The sequence below is a fragment of the Homo sapiens genome, chromosome 1, assembly GCF_000001405.40.
Source record: "Homo sapiens chromosome 1, GRCh38.p14 Primary Assembly".
NCBI lineage: Eukaryota > Metazoa > Chordata > Mammalia > Primates > Hominidae > Homo > Homo sapiens.
The window spans coordinates 216,892,349-216,909,147 of record NC_000001.11 but is presented as its reverse complement, the minus strand read 5'-3'; the positions used below and the strand labels follow the sequence as shown (position 1 = coordinate 216,909,147).

At 40.7% G+C, this 16,799-nt stretch overlaps 1 protein-coding gene across 41 annotated transcripts in view; it reads left to right on the top strand.

Annotated features, from left to right (window-relative positions):
• The window catches only part of ESRRG (estrogen related receptor gamma), a 634,457-nt gene that overhangs the window by 228,555 nt on the left and 389,103 nt on the right, over positions 1 to 16,799 (top strand). For 11 of the 41 annotated variants that reach the window (XM_017000634.3, XM_017000631.3, XM_047449391.1 and 8 more), the window contains exon 3: positions 3,465 to 3,583. The exons of 22 other annotated variants lie outside the window; for them this stretch is intronic. Coding sequence is in view for 8 of the 19 variants with exons in the window: in XM_017000625.2 (XP_016856114.1) it covers positions 3,809 to 3,900 (92 nt within the window). In the remaining 11 variants the exon portion in view is untranslated. Of the gene's footprint in view, positions 1 to 3,464; positions 3,901 to 16,799 lie in introns of all 41 variants that reach the window. 8 more of the 41 variants (XM_017000625.2, XM_017000622.2, XM_017000624.3 and 5 more) reach the window with 1 other exon arrangement.

Here is a 16,799-nt window from a genome sequence, read left to right as displayed (position 1 = left end):
CAACAAAGTCACACCATTGGGTCTCATTTTCCTTTTCTGTAAATGTGATCTAGTCAAATGTTTCTCAGAATTTCTACCCATGTACTCGAAAAGTAGAGGTCGAGGAAATATATGTGTGCTTTGTGAGGATCTGGCCTGAAATGACCAGTAGCAAACAAAAAAAAATTTTTAATCCCCTCTTTATCTGTTGTATGCATGTGAAATTTGCATTCTACTCCATAAAATATGTTTTAATATTGAAAAAAAATTGTTCCCTAAACCCAAATTTAAGAGCGAAATCTGTGGTGTAGAGGATGCTCTATGTTTTTTTTTTTTTCTAGGAGTGTGTACCCTACGGCACATTGCCTTGTACCTAGGGAGTGCCCAACAACATTAGGTAAATTCCAAGTCCTTCCAGGTCTCACTATTCTGTTATGTGATCTTGTGTTTTGCCCAATATTTTAGTTTGTCTTTCTTTGTTCTCTCTCTTTTTGTCCAATTCATTATCTTACTTTACTCCAAGATGATTTGAGGGGACTCTCACAAAGACATATGGTATAATCTAAAACCTCTGAAAATCAGGGTTAAAAAAGCAGACTGTCCTAGCAAGCTGAAATTGGTGTGTGTGTGACAATACCTATATTATGGTCCTGCAAATTTGCTGGAAATAGACAATTGATTTGGCTCTAAACTGCTTCCCAGCACCAAAATTCTCAGCCCTAAATTTTTGCCTTGTCTGCGTGATCCACTCTTAGGAGAATCCCAGACTATCCTAGCCCTGACGTCTGAGGGCAATTTCTCCTTTGGGTACACATAAGGTGGACATGCTCTGTAATTGCCAACCATCCTGATTAACACTCCCATGGCAAAGTCCATGCAGAGTGCTGTTTGCCTGCCTATGATAGCTTCCCTCAGGAAAGCTGGAGGATATAATACCAAGACACAGTGGGCAGACCTCATCCCAGGGTTTCTGCCAGCAAGTCCACTGTGACTTCCGACAAGGATGGATTATACTCTTGTTTCTTTTCCATCCAAATAGCATTCTGGATAGAGTTGAGAGAAATTTGTAATAATATTTTCAATGTACTGTTTTTCTCATTAGGAAAGAACATGAATAAGTTGGAATTTTAATGGTGAGCCTTTTAATAAGCAGTGCTTATAATTTATTATTCTTCTTAAGATTTTATTCATAGTCTTACAATCTTAATAAAAATAGACATAAAAAAGAGGTTTTGGCTTCTCCCTGTGGAATATGTTTTAACATAAGAGAAGAAGGGTACATTTGCACAGGGGACTCAGAAAGGGTGATCTCGATTCTTTGTGCCTGGCTTCCTTTAGATAGATGTGAATTAGAGCCAGCAAGAACAAGAAATACGTCAACCGGCATTGTTCTGATCAAACACTCTTTGAAACTTTTGATTTGATGGGGGAGGTGTCTTAGATTATGCACTCTTTAAAAAGATGCATCTAGAATTTAGATATGCCTGGTATATTCTATTTTGCACACATAGTAAACCACATGTGATTTCAAGTCTGTGAGCTATCTACTGGTGGTGGTAGTTACAGGGGTACAAGGGAAGGCGCTATTCCTTGGCTCTTCAGCGAGGCCAATAGTAGTGATAAAAAATTACACAGGATTACTTAACCATACTTGTTCATTTTGAAGTAGGCTCACAAATTGCTGCTAAGCCCTCACTGTTCATCTACAGTCCTTTTTCCCAGTTCCAGACGTTTGATCACAAGTGCGGCATCTCCCTCCTAATGCTGTGCAGGTTGATAAAACAGTTGCCGAGCCGGAATCCCTAAAGAAATTATTAATTATCTGGTTAATGTGCATCAGGCTGTGGGAGTGTGAGATTAATCACCAGCAGTGGGATGAGTTGCTGAAGTGGATTTTGGTTTTTTGTCTCCTGTCACTCGGTAATGGCTTTTCCTTCCTTCACCATCAGGTGAACAGGTGCAGAGATGCTGTATTTTCATTTTCCCAGAGTCAGTAACAGCCGGTGGCCAGGCGATGCCTTTTCCTCAGTCCTGCTGCATGAGCAGTTTACAACGTAGAGTATTACCTACTCAGAATATTCCAGCTCTTGGAGATTCTCCCAGTGTGACGGGTCCTACCCCAACTTTTTCAGTGTTCCAAATTAATGCACATGTCCACACACATCCCCACCATATACACTCACATACACAAATATATACACATGTGCAGACAGTTATCAATATATACAAAAAACATTAACAGCACCTCTGGATGCTATGCATGAATTCATGCTTAGCACTTTATCTCATTTCTTGTTTTAGAAACATGATCTTTATCTCTAAATGTACAAAAATAAAAAGGGAACCAATGTGTTGAACTACTTCTTTAAGAAAGAGAAAGCGAAGTTCTATACTAGTCATTTGGATGTAGGTAATATTACAAAAATTCCCTGGATTCTTTCTTTACTTTCTCTCTTCTAGGTGTTGGGTCCCATGTCCTAGGAAATAATCTTCATTCAGGTCAATCACTAGTGTGTGACATTAATCTTTTCATTATGATAAGTGTATTTTCACAATGCCCATCTTTTGTTTCCAGGATGTTAATGTGTCTTGGAGTCTATGAGGCAATTTGGCTGGTAGGGAGGGAAGTAGGAGGGAGAGTGCATCCCTAGGGTGAGGCACGGGAGGGCTTTGCTGTTCAATTGAGGCTGTACTTTCCTGGCCATATGTCTGATGGACAAAGGCCCAAATAGCCGGTAGATGCTGGAGGATTGTGTGGGTTGGGAGAGTACAAGTCACCACTTAGCCTCTCCCTCCACCTTAGTCTGGAGACTGAGATTTTTTTCAGGAGCATATTCTGCTGCTTCACAGTCATGTTAAGGAAATAAAACTATCAGCAGCACATTGATTTTAGTTTATTATATTTATATAGAGTTTGATAGTTCTTCTCTTTCATTTTAGATAAATGAAATGGAATGGAGGGGATATATAAGGGAAAGGTAGAGAGCTCGCTAGTTCAAACTAAGAAAAAGTCTGAAATGTCAAGTTTAAGAAAGTATGTTTTGTTAATCACTAGTACATACTGTGCATATCCTCAAATTGTTTCTAGGTAGAGATCTTTCAGAAACTTCTTTAACAGCGCTGAGCACAGTGGCTCATGCCTGTAATCCCAGCACTTTGTGAGGCCAAGGTGGCCAGATTGCCTGAGGTCAGAAATTTGAGACCAGGCTGGCCAATATGGTGAAACCCTGTATTTACTAAATATACAAAAATTAGCAGGGCGTAGTGGCATGTGCCTGTAGTCCCAGGTACTCAGGAGGCTGAGGCAAGACAATCACTTGAACCTGGGAGGCGGAGGTTGGAGGTTGCAGTGTGCTGAGATTGCTCCACTGCACTCAAGCCTGGGTGACAAAGTGAGACCCTGTTTCAAAAAAAGAAAAGAAGAAGAATAAATTTATTTAACAGGTATATTAGTATTTTGTAATTAATTTTCCTTTAATAAATAGTTTTTGGAGTCTACTAATCTCCAAACCCTGCTCCTGACCCTGAAGCTACAGTGATGACGAGGAGACAGAGCCCCAGCACTCACAGACCTCAATGTCTAGTGGAGGTGTTCCGTTATTACGTAAGTATACAAAGAGGACTATCCAGAATTCTAGAGGGTGGTGGTAGGAAGAAAATAAACTGAGGATATGAGAGAGAACAACTGAACAGTCAGAGGAGGGTTGAACTTTAAGGGGTAACCTTTGAGCCGAGAGCTGAACAAGGAGGAGGAGCTGATCCTGTGAAGATTTGAGGGTGGAATGTTCTTGGCAGACTGAAGAGCAAGTGCAAAGGCCTGGAGGTGGGAATGAGCTGGGGTGGTTCAAAGAACAGGAAAAAAAAAAGGCAACATGACTGGAGCCTAGTGAATGAAGGAGTGTCTGGACTTGAGGCTGGCAGGTAAGCTGAGACCCGATTGCATTCAGCCTTGTCGCCCCCAGTAAGGCGTGTGCAATGCATTCTGTGTGTGATGGGCAGCCGGAGTATCTGCTTACAGACAGTGTGTTGAAAGTCTTAAGGTTTATTGAAGTTCCGTCCCTGTAGTATTCCTTGTATCTTTAATTTGCTTGGCTAATCTTTCCTTACATACAGTATGAAGGAAAATTCAGCCTATATTGGATTTTCACAAGAATTCTGAAACCATCCTAGTTTGAATGAAATAAAATGCTATTTTGTGTTGGATGGTATTGAAAGGCTGCCCTATCTGCACTGGGCCCTTAATCTCATTTTGGGTGCAGAATTTTCCTTGGGCAGTTCAGAAGAGGGTAACTTTCTGTTTCGTGCATTCTTCTTATCACTGTTCAGTGCAAAGATCCCAGCAACCTCTTCGAACCCCAGAATGCCTGCCTTGTCGTAGACTTCCAAGCAATGGCTGGGGTTTGCAGTCACATACAATTCAGATGACACATTTGTGTTTCTAAAATCTGAACCCACCTAATGATCACGCCACAGCCGGGGAGTTGTTGGTGGAAAGCTGTCTTCCAGGCTTCTCGTTGAACATCTCATTCTCTGGTGTTTGTGTTGCCCCTCCTCTTAGGGCTTCCTGAGCTTACTCTGATAAGTAAAGCCAAGTTTACTTTGTTAAGCTCAGCAGTTCCCAGCAGTAAAGAGATAAGAAGGGGGGAAAAATAGTATCTTTGGGAGAAAAGAAGCTGTTTCTGTTTATAACAGACGCTAAGTGCGCTTTTCAATGACTTTGTTTAATTTTAGCAATCTCACACTACATTTACCAGAATATCCAGAATATCCCCTAAACTTTGAAGTTTAACAGAGGGTTTGATGAAACTACTTGTCTCTTGCAGAATCATCACATCTGCAGGTAGAACCCTCTGAGTTATTTGAGGAATGTCAGTTTTACTATGTCATCTGTGAGGGTCTGTTGTTGTTTATCTTGTTTAGAGAATTAAGAAATTATTAACTCACTAATTATCAGTTGGGGGGGGTGATGATTGCAGCTGCAGTAAATGCCATACTAAAACTTGTAGCCTTCTGATGAATTTTCAAAGAGGTTACTGCTTACTGAGTCCCTTTGTGCTAGGGGCATTTTTGAAATAATCTTTAATACGTACAGCAACCCTGCAAGGTAGGTACGGGCACTATGCTTGTTTTGCAGGTGAGGAAACTGAATTACTGAATTATCAAGAGGTTCAGGGATTTTCCCTGAGTGGAGATGGGAACCCAGGCTCTTTGAATCAGGCCCACTGCCTCCTCCCTCTTGTGCCCCAGGGTTTGCGTGTCCTCCTTAAAACAAATGCTCAAGTGTCCAAGCAAGAACATAATTGGATCCTGCAGAGAGTTACCTCTTGTCTTTTTAACCAAATAATGATCTATACCTGGTAGCATGCTGCCAGAGCTGCAGAGGGTGGTTGGTATAGATGGCATGTCAGGGGCATTTAGTTTAACCAGGACATCCCCTGTCCTCATCCTCAATTCCCCAAGGCACTTCTTACTCTTCAGAGTGTTTTTTTTTTCTCTTCTGCATCTCTGAGTATTTCTCCAAATGAGATTCAGTCTATCCCCTGAGTATATAGGCCAGCAGGGACCAGCTGTACAGGGTTCCACTGCCTGCTGTTTCCTCTGTGAATCATGTTCACACCCTCCATTCCTTACAGCTGAGCAATCAGATTCTAACCATATCACCTCAGACCTGTAATCTCGTTCTTTCCATTCTTTCCTCCATAGTCCCCCGACACACACACACACACACACACACACACACTTGAACACACACAACCACACATATATATGCACATACAGCCACAGACACACAAACACACACGGCTCTCTTTGTCTAAGTGCCTTTTAGCTTAAAAAAGATCTTGGCCCGGTGCTACAAGAGTCATGATCTTTCAAAAAGCACTCCATGAAGAATAACATGCTGGGTAATGTCTCCTGTAGTCATTTCCCATGACAGGGATTCCCTGCAGTGCAGCATTATGTAGCACTGGCAGTCTATGCTAGATGGTATAGGCCTGGGACACACAAAAGACTAAGAGAATAACAGTGTACACGATTCCAGGTATGTTTTGCAAAGCTCTGAGAAACATGTATACACATACACACAAACATGAAAACAAACACATGTATACAATTATGCACAGGTGTTCCCTTAAAATTGGGCTATGAAAGTAACCCCAGGACTGTGCTTTTCACACAAAGGCCATTCATAAATGCTTGATGAAACAATGACAGCCTTGTACTGTTTCAACAAGTAGGAACGTGCAAACAGGATGGAGTTCAGTTGGCTAGCAGTCACTGTGAACCACAGGCCAAATGTGTCAACAGTAAAGAACTGCCACTAAAAAGGCTGGCAGATCCAATGCTATGCATGTGGTCATGTAGTAGATCAGCATGTTCCATGAGGTAGTGCAGCCTAGGAACTGAGTGTCGTTTCAGCCATTAGTGTTGTGTTCAACATGGAGCTGCATAGCCATTTCAAAAGCTCTTATGCTTCCTTAGCTGGTGGAAGTCTCAGAAGAGATGGGACTATTTACCAGCTCACTACAGAACTCTCAAAGATGCTAAGAATGGGTCCAGCATTGAGGAGTATGTGGGCAATATGTGGGAGCATGAACAGAAGAGACTTCGTGGTTTCTCTCCTCTCTTTTGTCATGGAGGTAGAAATAATTCTCATTATTTTCCTTTTCCTTTTTTTTTTTTCTTTTTTTTCGAGACTCTGTTGCCTAGGCTGGAGTGCAGTGGCGCGATCTGGCTCACTGCAACCTCTGCCTCCTGGGTTCAAGGGATTCTCCTGCCTCAGCCTCCCAAGTAGCTAGGATTATAGGCACCCACCACCACACCAAGATAATTTTTGTATTTTTAGTAGAGACGGGGTTTTGCCATGTTGGCAAGGCTGGTCTGAAACTCCTGACCTCAGGTGATCTGCCCGCCTCAGCGTCCCAAAGTGCTGGGATTACAGGCGTGAGCCACCGCACCCAGCCGATTCTCATTTTTAATGTCAGAACCACCTGGACTGCCATACAGGATTGTTATAGAGAATAAAGAGATGATTCAGAAATTAGAAGCTTAGGAAATAGCAGTTGGGAGAGATGTCTTGAGAAGATCATGTAGATGAACTTCAGATATAAAAAGGAAGTATTGACTTGCCTGTTATTCCTGCAACTTGGGAGGCAATGGCAGGTAGATCACCTGAGGCCAGGAGCTTAAGACCAGCTTGGGCAACTTAGTGAGATTCCATCTCTATAAAAAAATAAAAATAAAAAATAAATTAGCTGGGCATGGTGGTGCATACCTGGAGTCCCAGATGCTTGGGGGGCTGAGGCAGGAGGATCACTTGAGCCAGGAGACTACAATGAGCTATGATCATGCCACTGTACTCCAGCCTGGGCAGCAGAGTGAGACCCTGTCCCTGAAAAAAATAAAAGAAGTATCAGTAGGCACTTTGCCACTAATTACTTTTTAAGAATACAGCTGTAGTGCCAAAGAGAATGCAGGTAAACATTAGAAAGATGGGAGAAGGCTGGTGTGGTGGCTTACACCTGTAACCCCAATACTTTGGGAGGCCAAGGTGGGAACATTACTTGAGCCCAGGAGTTTGAGACCAGCCTGGGCAATATAGGGAGACCTTGTTCCTACAGAAAAACTTTAAAAAATTAGCCAGATGTGGTGGCACACACTGGTAGTCCCAGCTACTTGGTAGGCTGAGGTGGGAGGATTGCTTGAGTCTGGGAGGTCGAGGCTGCAATGAGGTGTGATCACGCCACTGCACTCCAGCCTGGGAGGCAGAGAAAGACTCTGTCTCAAAAAAAGAAAAAGTAAAAGCAGAAAGACAAGGCATAACTTGAGTTACATACTGAGAAGTATCTCTTAAAAATGAGATCTAGTGTCCTATATGTCAGGAAGTTGAGAAGGGGGAATTAATTCTCTCTAATTCTTTACTTGGGGGACCACATAAATTCCCAAGGAGTTTTGTAGCTTCTGACTCTGATTCTGTACCCATCCTGTCACCCCCACCCCCCATGCACACAACAAAGCAGATGCAGTTTTTGGCTCTCCCAGCCCATCTCCATGTAGTTTTTCAATTCCAATCATGTTTTGTTAACATAGGCACATCATCACAGGGTTAAGAAGCAACCCCCAGCAGCAATGAATCTGGGATTGCTTCTCATAGTCTAGCCTTAGTTTCCTCTGGTTTGACAGCTGGGAGCTAGCAAGTGAGAAATTTGGGCTCCCTGCATGAATATTCTAGAAGCTTATTTCACTTGGCAATGTGACACCCTTAGTGCACTTCTAACTTCTGCTATTTCTCTTCATAGTCATTATCTGAGATTCACGAGAACTGGATATGGTTACATGTCCTGGAGTTCTCTCCAGTGTACACTTTGCAATTTAAAGATACAGATATAGTAAATGTATTATGATTACCTGTGAGCCCTTAGTGTAACTAAAGGGGATCAAGCTGCCACGGTTTAAAATGTTATTATATAATCTACCCTTGGTCCACTCCTTAAAGTGTCAAGGTCCTTATGATTTGGGACCAAGAGAGAAAACATGAGGCTGACTCTTCATATAAAAGTTTGAGGTAATATGGCACATAGCTTAGGATTAAATTTATACACTAGGTCAAAATTCTTGCCCCCCCTTAACAGACCAAACAATACACACACTCTTGCATCCACACACCAGATATAATTTTGCTCAATTCTCTAAGTGCTTCAGGGAGTGTTCCCATTACTGCTTGATTCTGGGAGCTTTCCAGTGTCAGCAGCCTGAACACCAACATGAGTGGGCGATATCTTCCTCCATGCTTCTGGGGAAGCAGTAAGCATCCTGAATCAAACCTGAATATTTAGGGTTTTTTATTTGTCTTTGGCAAAGCTCTAAAATTCCAGATTTGCAAGTTGTCGGCCCAGGAGCCCTGGCACATTATTTGAGATAACTCATCTTCTTTGACTCTTCTCTGTAGCTCCTGACCATGAAAGTCTGTAGTTAAGTGCAACAAACACTTATTTATGGGATATCCATGCCTTATTGTTTAAATCTTTTATAATGAGGTTATAAAAGCTCCTGATTCTGTAGGGTAAAATCACTAATTTGGATTTCTTAAGCAGCTTTGGATAGCATATAGAGACGACAAAACTGTTGAATTTACAAAAGCGAGGGATGAAGGAAAACACCTGTCTAGTGCATTGTGATATACAGTGAGTGATTCTGATGTACAAGCCTTATGCATAAGACATAACTCAGATGAAGCAGTGCATTATGGCTCCACATCCAGAGACTTGGCAGGTAGGTAATCCAGCTACCTTTTGGGCCTCTGTATCTGCCAGCATCTGCCAGACTCACCTTCTTGGTGGGCTGATTGGCTTCTGCTGCTTCTGTCACCCATCTTTTGTTTGGATTTTAGCCAAACATTCCCTGTCTTCCCTCATAAGCACATCAATGTTAGCATCATCCCAGTATCTCTGATAGCTTCTGTATGTGCCGTGTGAGATCTGTAACTGCATTGTATGCAGATGGGAAACAAGGCTGCAAGAGGGCTTATGCAGAGCCCCTATAACTGCCACCATGGCTGGTGATTACCTTTAAGTGTTCACATGTTGAAGTCAGAGAGGAATGTTAGCAGACATTCTGTTCCAGGGGAAATTTCAAAATGATCTCCTAAGCGTCCTAGGATTGCAAAACATAAATGAAGTATTTCTCTTCCTCATCTTCAGTGGCCCTAAGCAGACGACCCAATGCCTTTGAGACTGCTTCAAAGCCTTTGTTTTCAAGGCTAAAATTAGTGGATGAAGAGTAGAAATATAACATAAATGCATTTCTTTTAAATCACTTCTCAATGATATGAAAGAATATAAACATCGTCAACATTGTCTATAAAGTTTCGCACTAATAAGAATATTTATTCAAAGACTAAATTCCAAGTGTCCCAGATTATGCCATTAATGACAGTGGTCAAGTAGTGATACAGAAACAAAGTCCAGGTGTCTTTAGTACTTAGCCCTGAAACTTTCTTGTCATTATCTATAAAGTTTCTTAGCCATTTATTTCCTGAGAACAGCCCAAATGTTTTCTTTTTAAAGAATATATGTACAGATGATCATTCAGTCACACCCTGTTACTACTTCTCCTGAGACCCTTAGGAGATGTTTCCAGTCCTACCTGTGACTCAGGATCCTGCCAGAGGAGAGAATGTGCTGTTCTACCCCTGAGGCACTTGAGCTAATGGGAGTGTATTGAGCAGAAGAGGCTAGGGCTCAGTGGCCTTCCCTACTGCCTAAGATTTCCTTTCCACCTGGGACAACAGTAGAAGAAAATGTATCCCAGTGTTCCATAGACATGTTTTCCCATAAAAACAATAGTTCATTTACTTACGTGTTCTATAGCTGTGGTGCAGTGACCTAGAAACCTAGGCTCCATTGATGACTTGGTTTCTATGGAAAAATTCTAAACACTAAATGATCATTAAATCCAAATGCACTTTCAGGGTATAAAAGCTGTGACTACCTCTTGGCCAATGGTGTAACATAATGTATCAACTTCTTTAATTAATTAATTTATTTATTTTTTGAGACAGAGTCTCGCTTTGTCGCCTAGGCTGGAGTGCAGTGCCATGATCTCGGCTCACTGCTGCCTCTGCCTCCTGGATTCAAGCGATTCTCCTGCCTCAGCCTCCTGAGTAGCTGGGATTACAGGCACCCACCACCACGCCCAGCTAATTTTTGTATTTTTAGTAGAGATGGGTTTTCACCATGTTGGCCAGGCTGGTCTCGAGCTCCTGAACTCAAGTGATCCACCCACCTTGGCCTCCCAAAGTGCTGGGATTACAGGCGTGAGCCACCGTGCCTGGCCATGTACCAACTTCTTATAGTAGTCTCGGCTTAAGGGTAATGGTATATGAAATGAGTCCCACCTTCCACTGCCAAATCTTAATGATTCCTTAAATCACTTCAAGGGAATAGTAATTCTCATAAATTGAGTGGAGAAATTCATGGTGCAAACTGAGTTGCTGAAATGTTAAGTCCTCTTGCTTAGTTTGACTAAAAATCTAAAATCAGATCTTTCTGATTTTTTCCCCCTGCACTTCTCAACGGTCCGGTCTGTGTGCTAAGGACACAACTTTATTATCTCATTTCAACCTTATAATTTGCGAAGTGGTGGTTTAACATGTGGATGCATATTCATTGTGCAGATGAGGAAAGCCTATCGTATGCCAGGAAATGAGCCAGGCTCTGCCCAAGGTCTCACTGATAAAGGGTGACAGGATGGGACAGTACATAGACCCACCTCTGTTTCCTTGGCTGCTAGGCTGCCCATCTGGGTACACCAATACTGAGCTAGTAGCTGCTCTCTCAATAGTGGGGTGATAGCTCACTTTTTTTTTTTAAAGGACTGGGTTCTTCAGAAATTGTGTCCCCTGCAAAAGAAATGATTGCCAGTTTTCCTAAAATTGAACTGAGGCAATTGAACCCTACCATGACAGTTAGAACACCACCATCCTGTATTTTGGATGAACAAGGTTATTTCACATATTTGAGCCATTTATTGATTCTTCTTCTAATCTCCTGCTCTCCTTTGCTCCCTTGCTAGTTACATTCCTGTAGGCTTGATTATAAGTCAAAACTGTGTACTTTGCAGGGAAAGCCTATATAAATGGGTTGTAAGTCTGTTTGAAATGGCATTTGTCATTTTTAAAAAATATGTGTGCTTTTAACATTGTAGAGCCATTTTCTCAGTGTAGTCCACAAACTCACTGGCAGTGCTAGTTAAAAATGCAGATTCCTTGATCTGTTTAATCCAGATCTCTCAGGGTGGCTCAGGACTCTGAATCTTAAACACTTCACAAGGTGATCCTTAGGCACATTGATGTTTGAGAAACTACTGACCCAAAAAAGGTCAACTAAGGCAAAAATGGCCAGTGGCATCTCAATTCCCCACAACCCCAAGAGTAATTTAGTGGTTTTACTCAGAGGTACTTTGTATGGCAAATCCACTGGGTCCTTCTCATTTGTACATTTTCTTTCCTCCTCATTCATTTCTTCCCAGGGTTACTTTTCAAACTTCTGTGCTCTTCACAACGGCTGATCAATGAACTTAAACATAAAAGACAAACTTAAACTCTTCTCATCTCTTTTCATCCCCTCCACAGCAAATGCCCTTTCATCTTCTCAGACATTCCAAAATGTGGCAAAAAAAGATGGCTCTGCAACAGATGCAATTCTTTCTAGGTCTCTAGGTAACATTTTAACCTGTGTAATGTTCACTGCACAGCATCTTAAGTAATATTCCAGGAAATACGCTGCTGCTTGTTAAAAAGGATAGGACCCAAGAGATGTCTTTAAATATGCCTGTAAAGTGAGAGGTGCCAAGAGAAAGATAATATGGCTGATTATAGTTATTTACCTTACATTTTCATTCGCTTTTAACTGGGTGTAATTTAGGGGCATGAAATCTCTTATTGGAAGTGTATTTGCATTAAACAGCTCTAATCAACCATGAAAGTGCAGAAACTGAAAAATTGACAGACTGGGTTCCTAGAATCCCAAAGTAGCATTTCTGTAATAGGCATACAAACAAATCGAATAAACATGTTTTGCTTCAGCGATTTAAAGAATATGGTCTTTGGAGTAATTTGTCTTTTTTTAACTATCATTTCTAACCTTTTCATTGCCTATCTCTAGTTTGCAGCTCCCCCTAACAATCTGTGGCAATTTCCCAACCAGCTGTTGGTGTTCTAGTACTGGTGTTTTGTTTCGATTTCCGTGAGCTATCAAATCAGCCTATAAAGGGGATTACCTGAGTGCTGTTGTTTCCCAGGTTTGCATTTAGCAGTGGGTTTGCTTTTATGTTTGTGTTTTTGTTTTCTCAAGATACTTTATTCTATGGAAAATATGACTGAAAAATTGCAATGGCCCTGAATCACGATGCTCAGGCCAAGTATCAGAAGATGTTTCCAGTAACATGAGTAGTTCTTCTTTCCTCCCAATTAATAGCAATGACCCTTAGCATCGATCTGCTAAAATTTTAGCCTATTTTTTTCCAGATATGAGTAAAGGTTTGCATAAACTTTATTTGGGAGAGAATTTGTGTATATGTCATTTGTCGTGATGTAATGTAAGAAATCAATCATTTGTATACTCTTACCCTTGGTATAAATAAAGTCAGTGTTTACACTTGGACTTGGTAGACGAATGAGTACAAGGAGAAACCTGATATTTTACTTTGGATTTTGAATCTCTAGTTAAAGAGAAAGCAAGGAAACCTATTTTTGTGTCTTTTATGGTTAAGTTCTGATTTCCATTTGAACTCACTGCAAACACTAATTATTCTGTATGATGGGGGAATGCTGCCACTTGTTAAGTTATTAAAAAGAAAAAGGGAAGGAGAAAATAAAAACAGGCACAAGATAAGAGCTCTTTTTGGGTCCCTTTTATTTCTTTTCCTTGCCCTCCCTTGTCCTGTAACTCACATTTTCATTCAGGTCAGTCGGACTATAGCTAGTGAATGTGCTTTCACTAACATCTCCATCATTAGAAGGAAAAGTTGACTCTAAGACTGTTTCCAGAGTTGTGAATAATATTTGGACATTTGATAAGTCCCTTTAGTTTATTGGAACTTGCTAAGGTAGAAGAACATTTGTATCCTTCAGAGGAAAATTTTATCTTCCAATTAGAGCTGAAGAAAAAATTCTCAAAGAGAGACTCTATTTAAACTGACTACCCTGTTTTTCCACCATCCTGATAAAATGAAAAAGATTTTTTCACCCTAATTGGCCCTTTAGTTTTGGATCCCCATATATGTCATGATGTGCCTTCTATCAATAAATCCCAGTGATCAATAGGTCTTAATTAATAGGTTTTATGAGTTTGCTCTTAGATGGATGACAGTCATATTTTTAAAAGTAAGAAACAAGCAAAAATTTTCTAAGTAATTTTCCTCACACATGAAAGGAATGGCGACAGGGTCTTATTTGCTGTCAACAGTATTTCATTCACAGTGCACTTATTAAAAAATTAGCTCTGTTTTACACTTCAAGGAAATGCAGTGATGTTTTAGAAAATAAAACTAATATGGATGTCTATCTAAAGATGGGAAAAAGAAAAAAGCATATTTCTGGCATGGTGCAAGGGTTTATCCGCCCCCCAGCCCAATTTGCATGGTTTGTCCACACAAATTGAAAAACAGCAATTATAGGGAATTATAATGGAGATACATAAATCAGAGCTGTACTAGACTTGAAAAGAAATATATTTTAGCAAGTTTAAATCTTTTTAAAAAAAATTAACGTGGATGGGGGAGGAATCAGGATAGAACAGACTAAAAATAAACAGCTGTATACTACTTCATTAAGCTGCTGCTTGGAGTGATTTTCCCATTGATTAGTCTAGGGGCTAATGCTGGTTCATTCCTCATTTCATTGCTAATTAACATCAGTGCTGCTCCTGACCACTTGACCGTGTTCTCTGGTGAACATGTGCTGGTTTGGCAAGTAATCGCTCTCTTCCTCCTCCCTCCCCATACTGCCTCTTTCCCGAGTCCCCAGCTCCCTCGTCTTTTGTTCTTTCTAAAAATAAGATTTTCAGCTAGGAGGGAAGGAGGAGAGCCTTTAAGTTATAGCCTGCTAGTTCCTCTGTAAAGACAACGAACTTAATAAAGAGATTAGATGCCACCAAGAGAAATAAACACAGCTACTCTACCCAAGCATTTGATTGAGGGGCTGTGTAAATATAGATGATTCACTCCAGCTACCATAGGACCTGGCTGGTGTAGTTCATTTTGCGTTTGTCTCGTTGATTCTGACTCTTTCAGAATATTTGCAGGACAAATTACCTGACTCAGGGAGTTATGACCAAAGACCTTTAAAAGAGAAATTGAGCATTGGCTTTAAGGCATCTATTTTTTTAAGACTGTGTACATTTTGGCTCCCGAGTCTGTGAAATGAAATTCACTACCAGGTCATAGTTTCCTGATCTGACCCATAGTTATAGCTTTTGCAGGATGATCCACAGTCAAGCAGAACATAGGTTATAATCGGGGCAGAATACTCAATTTGGCAAACCGGGATTAGAGATGAGAAAAATCCACAGTATAAACACAATGAAAATCACTTGCCTCTGTTCCAGGTCAGGAGGTCAACATTTCCACACACTGAAGCCAACATGCATTTTGGAAAAAACCTTTCCAGAATCATTGAATAATGTGTTGTTTTGACTCAATTCCAAATCATATCATCTCTTTTAACTGAATCAAACATTACATTGCATTTAGAAAATAAGTTTGAATTAGTTTTGATTCCTGTAGTTTGGTGCATTCGATTCCCTTAGTAATCATGAAGCAGCCTTCCTTCAAATGTACCTTTTAGGAGCAGTCACTAAACAAAGTTTACATTTATTTTACTTTGCAGCATGTCATTTTCCTTGCCAACATTGTTTTTCCAATAAGCTTTTTAGTATGTACTTCTACATACTTAGAAATATGTATGTAGAAATACATACTTTAGTATGTATTTCTTGCCTGTGTGTTTACATCTTATACATTTCTATAAGATTTTAAGCTCCTTGAAGGAAGGAAATATGTCCTTTCCTGTTTACAATTAAATGAAGATGTATTGATGGCTTACTGCTTGCCAGACACTGTGTCTAGGACAAATGACATAGACAACTGGATGAATGGAGGGCTGAATATTTCTTTAATAGCAACATAATTATTTCATGATTTATCTTTAAAGTTCATTTTATTTATATCCTTAAAGCTCCTATTTATTCCTGTGTGCCTCATGGGGCCCTGGCACTACATTAGACACTGGAATTTCAGTCTTATCTGATATAGAATGGAGTAATTCTTGCTGAACCTCAAAGGATGGTGTAGATGTTGAGTAAATTGTAAGCTCCCTCCATTCAGGAACTGTGTGTATTTGGCCACCAATAGATTTCCATTGTCTGTGATATTGCCTGGCAGAATGTTTGCTCAATACATGCTGTTAAAGGAAACAGAATGGATGGAGGAGCATTCTAGGCAGCAAGGACTCCATGAACAAAAGCTTGGAAGCCGGTCCCATATTTGTTTTGTTTCAACGAATAGCAAATAGTTTGTTGAGTTTGGTACATATCAAAAGGAATCACTGAACCTAAGTTTGGAAGGGTAGCTTAGGACCAGATTGTGAGTAGTCTTAAATGTGCAGCTAAGGAATTTGGACTTTATTCTTGTGGGCAGAAACTGGATATGGTTAATGACTGATCACGGTAACCTTTATCTGAAGAAAATCGCCTTAAAACAAGGCAAGGTTGGCCATCATATATTAAGAACGCAAAGAGTGAGGGGAGGAGTTGGGCTTTTATTCTGGTTCTAGAGGTGCCAAGCAGGGCGGGTGGTGGAGAGGACGATTAAATAATTCAGATGTGCTAGCTGTAATTGCTGTAATAGCTGAGTGCTGTTAAAGTATGTGAGGACAGTGCTGTGTTCATTGCCATAGATCAGCTTGCCACTGCTTCGTCCTTTCGCTGAATTTAATTTCTCCCTACTTTCTTTGCCTTCTAGACGGTTGGTATAAATTGGTTCAGAACAAATCCTACAGACTCAGCCTGCATGAACTGAGGTCCTCCAAACCCCCAACATCCACTTTAGCTTCCATAAAGAGGATAGAAGGAACTGAAATATTTCCTCATAGCTTGAAATACCACAGCTAAACTCCCCATAATATGATTTTTTGTTACATAGAGGCTAGTTTTCTTTCCCCCAGGAGAGGTAGTATATAAACGCTGTAGGGAACCTTCAGAAGTCAATGCTCTTACTAGAAATCTAGGGCTCCAGGGACCAAAAATCAGGAAGTATGCCCTTTC